This window comes from Homo sapiens, chromosome 18, assembly GCF_000001405.40.
Source record: "Homo sapiens chromosome 18, GRCh38.p14 Primary Assembly".
NCBI lineage: Eukaryota > Metazoa > Chordata > Mammalia > Primates > Hominidae > Homo > Homo sapiens.
Window position 1 is genome coordinate 50878421 of NC_000018.10, and position 12832 is coordinate 50891252.

General features: G+C 42.0%; 1 protein-coding gene across 3 annotated transcripts in view, besides 3 other annotated features; it reads left to right on the plus strand.

The window, feature by feature from the left end:
* Positions 487–988: an enhancer, noted in NCBI's record as "H3K27ac hESC enhancer chr18:48405277-48405778 (GRCh37/hg19 assembly coordinates)". NCBI's record gives its function as "activates a minimal SCP1, AML or CMV promoter by ChIP-STARR-seq in naive H9 embryonic stem cells {active_cell/tissue: H9 hESC(naive)}" and the evidence as "EXISTENCE:reporter gene assay evidence [ECO:0000049][PMID:30033119]".
* Positions 487–1086: a biological region, named in NCBI's record as "H3K27ac hESC enhancer GRCh37_chr18:48405277-48405778".
* Positions 527–1086: a silencer, noted in NCBI's record as "silent region_9458". NCBI's record gives its function as "represses an Ori minimal core promoter by ATAC-STARR-seq in GM12878 lymphoblastoid cells {active_cell/tissue: GM12878}" and the evidence as "EXISTENCE:reporter gene assay evidence [ECO:0000049][PMID:35858748]".
* Positions 698–12832, plus strand: part of ME2 (malic enzyme 2) — a 75140-nt gene continuing 63005 nt past the window's right edge. For all 3 annotated transcript variants that reach the window (NR_174094.1, NM_002396.5, NM_001168335.2), the window contains exon 1: positions 698–888. The gene's annotated coding sequence lies outside the window, so the exon portion shown is untranslated. The remainder of the gene's footprint in view (positions 889–12832) is intronic.

The window sequence follows — 12832 nt, forward strand, 5'->3', positions numbered from 1 at the left end:
CGGTCCCTGCGGCTTTCAAGGACAAGACAATTAAGTGTTCCGGTGCTTTTCTGAGGCAGAACATTGAGCATCTATTTATGGTGACTGTGACAGTGGAGGTGATTGGTAAATTCACCGCAGGCCAATAACCTTGCCAGCAGCCATGAGGAGTGGCAAAGAATTCTGCAGAAGAGCAAGTCCTAAGCACACAAAACAGCTCGGAAAGTGAAAGCGTCGCTGAAGTGCGGAAGCCTCGCATTTCCTGGGTCCTCTTCTTCCTTCCTTTGCCGTCTCCTGCCCTCCCGTTCTCCCCCTTCCTCTGTGGCTCAGGCAGGACAGACCCCAACTCCCAGCTTCCCTGGCCTCCGCGGGTTCGGAGACTGGGACCCCCGGGCCAGGAGTGCTGGGGGGCGCGGTCGGCCAGCCCCGGCTTCCTTCATGGAGCGGCGGAGCTCCACCTCCTCCTCCGCACTGCACTTCTCACATCCTCAGCATCGCGTCCACGAGGCCGCCCGCCCCGCCTCAGAACCGTAACCTCCAGGAGCTGGGTTGAGGAAGGCGCGGAGGACAGGAACCCCAGCGCCGGCAGCTAAGCCTCCAGACGGAGCCCGCCCCTCCGGCCGGTTCCTGCCTCCAATTGGCCCGCGAGCCCGTCCGTCTCCACCGTGGGCCACGCCTTCCGGGCCCCGCGGCTGGCCGGCTCCTCGCGCCCTCCCCTCTCTCGGCCGCTCTTCGGGCCGCCTCTGCGTGTGGGGCCGCCCGCGCCAGTGTGAGCCTGAGCTGACGGCGGCTCCGGGAGGCTCGCAGAAGGGGAGGGCCGGGCGGCGCGGGAGCTGAGCATCGCCAGGGCGGGCGGCAGGGCGCGGCCTCTCCGCCGGGTGTACCACCTGTCGCGGCGCGAGACCTCTGGTAAGGCCCGGCGCGGTGGGGCCCGGGCGGGGGTCCGGGAGAGGAGCGGGCGCCGGCCTCCCCTGGCCCGGCCCCGAGAGCCCAGCGCTGCCGCGCCTCCGGCCTCCGCGCGTGCGGCCCCCGCCGTTCCCGGCCTGGCGGTGGGGGCTGGGGGAAGGGAAGCGGTCTGCGGAGTCCGGGCTGAGGGCGAGGGACCGGCTACATCGCGGCGACCCAGGTTCCAGCGGCCGCGGCTCTACCCGGCGCGCGATTTCCAGGTTCCTCCGCCGGCTGGTGCCTGGGCGCCCCGCTCTCGCCCGGGAGCGAGGCCCTGGGCCTCCAAACGCCAGCATCTCTTTCTCGCTCTTTCTGCACCCCTCCACAAAAGGACTTCTGTGGCTGGAAACCCTTTGGCAAGCCTATCTCCTTTATTCAGTCGGGCCGAGTTAACGGCAGGAGTTAGGCTGTGTGTGTGGCTCCTCCCTTTAAAAAAAGACTTGCTGCGGGCTGGAGAGTTCTGAGATTGGACCGATTCCGTCTATTATTAAATGCCATCTGTGGACCGGGATTGGCAGGTGTTTCTTTCACGCTGGCGATAACTATCTCTGCATGTGGTGTTACCTAGGTGGTCCTAGGTTTCGACTTTCTTTTTTGGTTCCAGAGATAATTCTAGAAAATTTACGTTGCTTGTGGTGAGAAGCGTGATCAAATTAACACGTGCTTTCTTACAAAACGTTTTATCATCTTCTGTCTGTGGATTTACCTTCCTGATGCTTGTGGCTATCACCTCTAAGCAAAGAGGTTAATAGCATTGCTATTTCTGTTAGTGTTGCAGTTGATAACGATAACAATAGTAGCATGTATTAATTGCTAGTGACAGGCAGAGCGCTAGTTTCTACACGGATTATCTCAAAATAACCCTTTGAGGTTGATACTGTTACTGCCTCCACTTTACAAACCAGGAAACTAAGGTTTAGGTAGGTTAAGTAACTTGCCTAAGACCACAGTTTTAACGTGACAAAGCCTAGATTCAAACTCAAGTGGTCTAACTTCATAGCTGCATCCTCCACCCCCACTCCCTTAAACGTGTATACTCCTTAAGCATTGCTCATGTTGTTAAGCTAATTGCGATGTTGTACCCATAATTTTGATTTTCAATTTACAAATACTCTGTAAATTAGATGAGAGAAACAGTTGTTTTTAAAAACATACATATAGGCCGTTCGCGGTGGCTCACGCATGTAATTCCAGCACTTCTGGGAGGCCGACGTGGGTGGATCACCTGAGGGCAGCTAATTTTTGTAATTTTAATAGAGACGGGGGCTTCGCCGTATTGGCCAGGCTGGTCTCGAACTCCTGACCTCAAGTGATCTACCCACCTTGACCTTCCAAAGTGCTGGGATTACAGGCGTTAGCGACCGCGCCTAGCTCCTAATATGACTTTTATCATGCATTAATAGGAAATGTTGGGCTATGCTTCTGTAGAAATATTCTCTTGAGAATAATATATTTATGCTTAGTAGCTATTTCTGAGAACTGCTTATGGGTGACACCCTTAGAGGGTGTTTATATGTTTTTGTCTTTTAATATATTTATGAAAACAAAATATTCATAAAGGAAAAAACCCATTTACCATTTGGGAACTTCTTTTGTAAAATTAAAAACTTACAGCTATGTATGTATAATCTGTATATTAAGTTAAAAACTCTAATTGATTTTGGTGAATTTCAGACAAACTAGACATATTTTATTCTCTTTAAGACGGAGTTTTGCTCTTGTTGCCCAGGCTGGAGTGCAGTGTTGCGATCTCCACTCACTGCAACTTCTGCCTTCCGCGTTCAAGCGCTTCTTCTGCCTCAGCCTTCTGAGTAGCTGGGACTACAGGCATGCACCACCATGCCCGGCTAATTTGTGTGTGTGTGTATTTTGAGTAGAGACAGGGTTTCACCATGTTTTTCAGGCTGGTCTCGAACTGCTGACCTCAAGTGCTCCACCTCCTTCGGCCTCCCAAAGTGCTGGGATTACAGGAGTGAGCCACCATGCCCGGTGAACTAGCCGTATTTTAAAACACAAATAACATTAAAACCTATATTTACTAAGGATTAATATTACAGGACAAAATTCACACTAAATAAAAATTACATTGACTTTATAAAAAGATAACTTTTATTAGAAATTAACTATTTTATTTGAAAGTTACGATTTTGATTTTATGGTGGCATATTGTACCTCCTTTGATCAATATGTACAAATTTCAAAAGTGATAAAAAATATATTCTGTATATACTTGTTTAGGATGACATTTGATGTTGCCTGTATTTGTATACCATCCAGATTCTCATTCTTGACTTTGAGATTTGATTTGAAATATTTTGAATAAATGTTAATCATGATTATCCTTATAGCCTCTTATATTAATTTGATCATTAAAAGATGTTGATGCAGAAACAAGCAGGCATTTAGAAGGCACCTTGTGACCACCTTAGTCTACAACTACTAATAGTAATGCTTATGATAACTAGCCTTTCTAGAGCACCTAGAGGGCATTGTGATAAGCATCTTAATGAATTATCTAATTTAAATCTTAAAATAGCCTATTAAATAGGTCTTGTAGTTTAACGTTCCCATTTTACTGATGAGAAAATGCAAATTGGGGAGGTTGTGATTTACTCAGCATCACAGAGCTAGCAAATGGCAAAGCCAGGATTTATTTTGTTTTGTTTTTGTTTTTGAGAGAGGGTCTCACTTTTACCTAGGCTAGAGTGCAGTGGTGCTGTTATGGTTCACTGCAACCTCAACCTCCCATGCTCAAGCCATCCTCCTGCCTCAGCCTCTGAAGTAGCCAGGACTGCAGGTGTGTGCCACTACCCCCAGCTAGTTTTTAAATTTTTTGTAGAGATGGGGTTTTGTCATGTTGCCCGGGCTGACCTGGAACTCTTGAGCTCAAGCAACCCACCCACCTTGGCCTCCCAAAGTGCTGGGGATTACAGGTGTTCGCCACGGGATTTAAATCCAGGCAGTTTGACTCCAGAACTTGCCCTTTGACCACTCTGCTAGACTATTTCGTATGGGTTTTTTAAAGCAAACTTTGAAATCAAGTAGTCAAGCTCTTTATAGTGATGCTATTGTAAAGCTCTAAAGGCTTGACACTATTAATAATATGTATATATCAACATTACTACACAGAATTCTGCAAGTTTCCCCTCCCCCACTTTATTGATGAGAAAAATGAAACATCTAAGTCAATGGCTTCCAGACTTTTGGACTTTGCCAACAAGTAAAAAACTGTTATGTGTGGGGGACAATTGGGACCAGACGTAAGATCTCCAACTTTTATTTCTGTCAAGGTTGAGAATCTTCTTAAACACTACTGCAATCTGGTCAGGCACATTGGTTCATGTCTGTAATCCCAGCACTTTGGGAGCCAGAGGTGGATGGATCACTTGAGGTCAGGAGTTCGAGACCAGCCTGCCCAACATGGTGAAACCCCGTCTCTACTAAAAATACAAAAATTTGCTGGGCATGGTAGCACACACCTATAATCCCAGCTACTCAGTAGGCTGAGGCAGGAGAATCGCTTGAACCTGGAAGTCAGAGGTTGCAGTGAGCTGAGATCACACCACTGTACTCCAGCCTGGGCGACAGTGATTTTTGAGACTCTATCTCAAAAAAACAAACAAAAAAACTACTGCAATCTACTGTCCTGATCCTTTCCTTAAAAAAGGGACATTTTTACCACCACAAAGGTAGGAAGGTCATAGTTACAACATAAAAACAGAATAAATTTAATATTATGAAAAACTATATTACATTGTGTTAGTTTTTCCTCCTTTGGTCATAGACCAGTCAAAAACATGTCCTAAACTAACACCAATTCAGAGATCATTCAGGAATGCCTGGGTGACACAACTGATTCTGAACTGGTAATTAGCTGAGTCCAGTCCAGATTCACTCTCCAGTCTGTCTGACAGCAAAGCCTGTGCTTGTTGCCCTGTCATGAGCTCTTTCTAGTGAACAGTGTCTAGGGTTTTGGTCTCCTGTGAACAGTCTTTCTCAGGTGTTGACTATTTCCTTCTCCCTCCAGGTAGGGGGCCAGGGAGAATAGTCTCCAGCAGCCAATGTCTTAACAGCTTTAGTCCCAGTCCAGTTTGTAAATACCACCCAGAGGGTGAGTTCCACTGCTTCCCTGTTTGAGGTAGTTCTTTTGTCTGTGCTTACTCATGGAAGGGGCAAGGCAGTGACCATACCAGGGCAAGAAACCACGGGCATATTCCAGTATTCAAGAAACTCTCCTGCTGGGTGTGGTGGCTCACACCTGTAATCCCAGCACTTTGGGAGGCCGAGGCGGGCGGATCACCTGAGATCAGGAGTTTGAGACCAGCCTGGCCAATATGGTGAAACCCCATCTCTACTAAAAATACAAAAAAGTAAACGGGCATGGTGGTGGGCACCTGTAGTGCTAGCTACTCGGGAGGCTGAGGCAGGAGAATTGCTTGACCTAGGAGGTGGAGGTTGCAGTGAGCCAAGATTGTGCCATTACACTCCAGCCTGGGTGACAGAGCAAGACTCTGTCTAAAAAACAAAAAAAGAAACTCTCCAGTAAATAGCTTGATTTTACTTAGTCATTCAAAATTCGAATCCCCACCTTCTTTTATTTCCTGTTTTTACTTCACTCACTCCTATAGTTCTCCTTCTGTCATCTTTGTGTAACATAAGGAGTTAGGTGTGTGTTTTCCTCGTTCTGTCTTGTCTCCAGCAGATATTAAGCCCACCTGTCTGTTTCTGTCTGTAAGTGTTCTAAGTTCCAATTTCGGCAAAGATTGTTTTTTTCCTTAAGTTTTTTTTTAATTATGCCTACTAAAGACACTATTAAAATTACTTTTATATTTTATTTTACTCTATCACTTGCTAATAAAATTATCTAATAGTTTGAATAATATATGTTTTATCTTTAATTATAATACTCTTTTGCATATATTCTCTCATTTAATCATCACAGTTTTCTATGAGGTAGATTTGAGAGGTGGTGTTATCTTTATATACAAGCCAAATTCATTATTTTATTTATTTGTTTATTTTGAGACAGAGCCTCAATCTGTCATAAGGCTAGAGTGCAGTGGCGTGATCTCAGCTCACTGCAACCTCTGCCTCCTGAGTTCAAGCAATTCTCCTGCTTCAGCCTCCCGAGTAGCTGGGACTACAGGCACGCACCACCATGCCCGGCTAATTTTTGTACTTTTAGTAGAGACTGGGTTTCACCATGTTGATCAGGATAGCTTTGAAATCTTGACGTCATGTTCCACCTGCCTCGGCCTCCCAAAGGGCTGGGATTACAGGCGTGAGCCACTGCGCCAGGCCCAAATTCATTATTTGATAGGAGCAAGATTTTAACTAGGAGTTGAAAATAGAAGATTTCGTATATCAGCAACCTGATCTTAACTACTGATTCCAAAATGTATTTTTTGGGGATTGCCTTTGATTCAAAATAAAATGTATTCCATACCATTTTAGATTTGCCTACCTTGCAGTACTAATCACCAAAGTTTGTGTGTGTTTGTGTGTGTGTGTGTGTGTGTGTGTGTCTGAAACGGAGTTTCGCTCTTGTTGCCCAGGCTGCAGTGCAGTGGTGCAATCTCGGCTCACTGCAGCCGCCGCCTCTCGGGTTCAAGCAATTCTCCCACCTCAGTCTCCCGAGTAGCTGGGATTGCAGGCGCCGGTCACCACACCCAGCTAATTTTTTGTGTTTTTAGTAGAGACAGGGTTTTGCCATGTTGGCCAGTCTGATCCCGAACTCCTGGTCTCAGGTGATCTGCCTGCCTCAGCCTCCCAAAGTGCTGGGATTTCAGGCATGAGCCACCACGCCAGGCCCAAAGTTTTAACTGTAGTAAATAATGCTATCTCTCCTGGAAGAGCCACATAAACATATGATGAATTCTTTTAGAACTTCTTTTTAGCTGGGTGTGATGGCTCATGCCTCTAATCCCAGCAACTCACAGGCTGAGATCGGACGATTGCTTGAGGCCAAGAGTTCAAGACCAGCCTGGGCAACATAGCAAACGCCAGCTGTACAAAATATTAAAATTAGCCGGGCACAGTGGCTTGTACCTGTAGTCTCAACTACTTGGGAGGCTAAAGCAGGTGAATCACTTGAGCCCAGGAGTTCAAGACTGCAGTTAGCTGTGATTATACAACTGTATTCCAGCCTGAGTGACAGAGTGAGATACTGTCTCTAAAAAAAAAAATATATAAAACTTTTTTTAAATGACAATTTATAAAATTTAAATGGTTTTTTTTCATCACTTAGCAGAGTATCAACCATCCCAATTTTGTTAATAATACTTTTGTCACCATGTTGGGGATTCTGGGGAGAAAGCTACTTGGTATATATATATATTTTTAACACTGTGCTGCTATAATTAACATTATTATTCATATGATACTGATTAATAATTTTTAAAAGTGTAGAAACATGTATATATAATTTGTACTTTTAGAGCCAACTGCTGGTACTTTCTGCAGTATAATAATAAATGGAAATAAAGTGACATGGAGCTTTTATGCAAGATAATCCTGAAAAGATGTATAAAAGTCAAATTTGAGTAACTTAAAATTTAAAAATAGCCTGAAAAATCTTGCTATTTAAAGAAGTCCAGTGAAGAATTCTCTTATATAGCAAATTCTCTCTCTTAAAAATAAAATCAATGGAGTTTGCTCAAAGCAGGCTCTACCACTGTTTCTTCTTTTAGATTGTACACATTTAATAGATATCCATTATTAGATTCAGATAGTGAAGACAATTCATAAGTACACAATGCTGGTTCTATATATATGTGTGTGTGTGTATATATTTATACTATATACCCACACAAATTTAAAATTTAAAAAAAAAGGAAAACTTGGGAAGCCTATACAGGTATGTGTCTATTTTTTAATTTAAAATTGAGAAAGGGTAAGTTAGATTTTTTTTTTTTTTTGAGATGGAGTCTCACTCCGTTGCCCAGGCTGGAGTGCAGTGGCATGATCTCGGCTCACTGTAACCTTCACCTCCCAGGTTCAAGAGATTCTCATGCCTCAGCCTCCTGAGTAGCTGGGATTACAAGCACGTACCACCCTGCCCAGCTAATTTTTGTATTTTTAGGAGAGATGGGGTTTCACCATGTTGGCTAGGCTGGTCTTGAACTCCTGACCTCAAGTGATCCGCTCACCTCAGCCTCCCAAAGTGTTGGGATTACAGGCGTGAGCCACTGCACCTGGCCAAGTTCTTTTTCTTGGTTTTGTTCATGTTCATATTTCTTTTAAAAAGCACAAAGGAGAGCTTTATTTAGGACTTTATAACTTACTGGTAATAGAACATTAAGAGAATACTGCATGGTGGTGATTTAATAGATTCTGTTTAATGCTTTTGATGTTTACCTAGAGAAAACCAAATCTGGCTGGATGCAGTGGCTCACACCTGTAATCTCAGCACTTTGGGAGGCCAAGACTGACAGATCAATTGAGGCCAGGAGTTTGAGACCAGCCTGGGCAACATAGAGAGACCCCGTCTCTACCAAAAATACAAAAAATTAGCCGGGCATGGTGGTGCATGCCTATAGTCCCAGCTACTCAGGAGGCTGAGGCAGGAGAATCACTGAATCCAGGAGACGGAGGCTGCAGTGAGCTGAGATCGTGCCACTGCACTCCAGCCTGTGTGACGGCAAGACTCTGTCGCAAAAAGAAAAAAGAAAACCAAATCTGATGGTGTAAGTTTCACAGCAGCTAAAAAGACATGGATTCCTGTAGTGTTAAGTAAGAATATGAGAGCAATACTAACCCTAGGCCTCATTCCGGCCCTGACGTAGGTGCTCAATAGATGAGTAAATAAGTATAATATATGTTTAAACTGAATCAACTTCCAGTTTAAAGTGATCGATTAGTCACATGTTGAAATCTCCCTTTCTTGCTCTAAAAACACAGAGATGGTAAGTAAAATTGAAACAACACAGAGCCAAGTTTGAAAGCAAGAGAGAAATCTCCACATGCAGGAGTGAAGAAAGAACCTATAGCAGTGAGCTTGATTGAAGACAAATGTTCCATGGGTAGACAGGGAACAAACACAGTACATGAATACTACTTAGGATCTGAAGTGTTTATTGCTTGCCAGGAGACGGAAACTGAGTTCCCAAGGCCTGTTCAACCTTCAGAATCAAAACTAGACATATTTTGGGAAGCTGAGAATGGGGAAACACTTTTCTCTCCATAAATGAAGACTGTATCCTCACTGAGGTTGAGACGAGAATTAAACCATCCATCCCACACCATAAGTAGAATCCTAAACCTCAACTTGTTTGAATTTGGCTTTGGAATTCTACCTGAGGTATGTAACCATCTAACACAGAAACTAATGTAGAAACTAGTTTTAGCTTGTAAACTCTCAGGATCTCATATAGAGGCAAACTTAAAACTGCCTCCAAGGGTTGGTTTCCACAACACACAACGTGTATGGGACCACCATCAAAGATTGCAAAGTGAGCTTATAGACAAAAATTATGCCATGAAAGAGACTGAAAATTTATATCCAGGCACTAAAGACATTAGAAAAGATCTTTAAAATAAATATTTAATGAAGCCAGAATTTAAAGTTATGAAGCATGAACTGGTGACCATAAAACAGAACCAAATAGAAATATAGACATAAAATAATTGAAGTGAAAAGATGGAATATCAGAAATAGATAACTAAAGAGCTATATAAGAAGTTAGGTGGTGGATAAATTGCTTAATTAAGAAATGAGGCCAGGCTCAGTGGCTCACGCCTGTAATCATAACACTTTGGGAGGTTGAGGCTGGCAGATCACTTGAGCCCAGAAGTTGGAGACCACCCTGTGCAAAATGGTGAAACTCTTTCTCTACAAAAAAAACTACAAAAATTAGCTGGGCATGATGGCACATGCCTGTCATCCCAGCTACTTGAGAGGCTGAGGTGGGAGGATTGCTTGAGCCCCCGAGGTCGAGGCTGCAGTGAGCTGTGATCATGCCACTGCACTCTAGCCTAGGCAACAGAGCAAGACCCTGTCTCAAAAAAAAAAAAAAAAATGAAAATATACGAAATGAAATTTTGTCTTGAAAAATGGGATTTAGAAAGGAATGGGAGGGAATACATTTATGAAACAAAAACAACAGAACCAAAGGCTTAGAGGCTGAAAATTTTGGAACAGGAAGGGAAAACAAAATAAAAACCCTGGACTACGACTGGTAAGCTGAGTGATATTGGACATGTCCATTTCTGTTTCTGGGCTTTATTTTTTTTTCATTTAAATTAAGATATTTAAACTAGGTGATGTCTAAGACTCGTGATAACTATAATTGTGATTCAAGGAAAATCTAAGTGTGTACATCTAATTAGAATAAAGCACTATTTAGGTTTATGTACTTGGTAATATGATACATACTCTAATGCTTTAGGAAGGAAGCTCTATAAAGGGTATCAGGGTCATAACAATGTATTAAATAGTGTGGTATTATACTAAATATATTGATCTTCCTGATTCTGTCACAGAGCTCCTCAAACCCTTGGATTTCCTGAATGATAAGAGTGTCTTTAAAAAAAATTTTTTTTAAACTGATGCATAATAGATGTACATAGTTTCAGGGTACGTGTGATAATTTAATATATTCATATAATTTGTAAAGATCAAGCCAGTGTATTCTGGATATCCATCACTTTCAATATTTGTATTTATACTAGAAACATTCCAGTTCTTCTCTTTTAGCTATTTTTAAATGTACAGTAGATTGTTATAAACTATATTCACCTTACTGATCTAACACTAGGTCTTATTCCTTCTGTCAAGTTGTATATTTTTATCCATTAATTCCCTCCCCCCCATGATAGGAGTGTTTTTTGTCATAATGATCCCCTTTTGATCACACCTGAGTGTATGCTAGTCACCTGAGGTGACTTAGGGTAGAGCCCCTAGGCAGCCTCAGGGTATGGCTGATCACTAGAAAGACCAAGTGATTAGAGGGTTAGAACTTTCAGCCCTATCCATGAGCTTTGGGGAAGGGGGTGCTGGACATTAAGCTCTATAAAACTTTTGAACGACAAGATTTGCTGAGCTTCTGGGTTGCTGAACACATGGTGCTGGCAGAGTGGCCTGTCCAGAGAGGGCATGGAAACCCTGCATCCCCTTGCCCCCAATGCCTTGCCCTCTACATCTCTTTATCTGGCTCTTCATCTGTATCCTTTATAATAAAGGGGGATTTTTTGAAGACATATTAGAATAAAGCAATTTATTGTGGATAAGAAGACTTAAAAATGGGCCATGGTTAAAGACTTGTTAAGCGTTCCTAATAATGATACATTTGACAAGGAAATTTAGTTATTTCTGTGACATATAACAATTTAACATTAGAATTATGACTGACAACATTTCCTAAGACGTATCAGATTTCTAGGAATCTCATGCAGTTTTGGAACACATATTAACCTGTTCATGTTAATGGGATTCTAGGAAATGGTTAAACATTATTCTTATTTGGCAATGCTTCCCATATAATTTAACATGCCCAATAAGCCTAATATGTTTCGCTTGGACTTCCACAGGCCCTTTTGGAATGTCCAAGAGTTAGTTTAAGGTCAAAAAGATGTAATTTAGAATTTGAAATTTGATTTGGGGAAGCCTGTTAATTATGTCAAAGGTTTAAAACACTTGATCAAAAATAGTATCAAAGGTCACTGTGATGAAATGAAATAATATTCATTTAGCTGAAGTGATTTCAAAAATCAAGAGATTTCAAAAATCAAGAATCCTCACTCTTTGATAGAAAAGCAACCCCATTTTCCAAAAAAAAATCAAAAGGCCTAATAAAGACAGCATGATGCAAACAGAATGTTTCTTCTATTTTGCAGCTTACTCAAAAGGCAAACTATAATATTTTGTTATTTTTTATTAATACTACACAAAAATCTTCAGAAGAGAAAACCAAATTCAATATATTATTATTATTTTCTTTTTTTGTACTTTTTGTAGAGACAAGGTCTTACTATGTTGCCCAGGCTAGTCTCGAACTCCTGAGCTCAAGTGATCCACCCATCTCAGCCTCCCAAAGTGGTGGGATTCCAGGCATGCACCACTGTGCAGGGCCTCAATGTATTATTATTAAAGTGAATTTTAATAAAACCTTATAAACAAATTCAATCTCAGTCAGCTTTGACCACACAACATAAGATTTCCGTAAATTTTTTACAACTACTTACAAAATTATTTCAGGTTTTTTTCTTCCCCAACTTGTTTTATCCATTTAGTTTTATCTATATCATTTTTTCCTTCATTATGAAACCTTTAAATAACCTCTAAACTAGACAGAATTCCTTTTTTCAACAAAAAACACATCTTTTGTCTTTCTTATAACCTTCCTCACCAAAAAGCATCCTGCCTTTCTTGTAAAAGCATTGTTTTTCTTTATATCTAGTTGTTTTAATTACATATATTACAATTTTGACTCTTACTAATTTCCAGTATAAAACCTAGTAGGAAGCAATTTTAATTGCTATGTACCAGGTACAGAGTTCTGGACAGAGCTATTACGACTACGTCTGGAGGACCCAACCCCTTCTAGCATGGCCAGGAGGCACTGCTGGACCAGGAGGGCAGGGCCATATTGAGCCTGGCTCTGCCCTGCAGCTGGTGGCCCAGGTACTGAAGATAAACGTATGTACCTGGGCCTCACCATGGTCACCTGTGTAGACTGCAGAATTTAAAGGCTCAAAACCAAAAACATAAGCTCAGACAAATCAAACAAATATTAAAAATATCTCAGGAGCAATAGTTTGATGACCTTAAAATACGTAGAAGAAACTGTGTAAATCTAACCAGTAGACCCAAGGCAAAAATGTCTGAATTATATTTAATATTGACAATTTTGAGACATTCCTATTTTACCAACAATTTTTAAACTAGCTTATTTCAAATAGAGAGAATTTA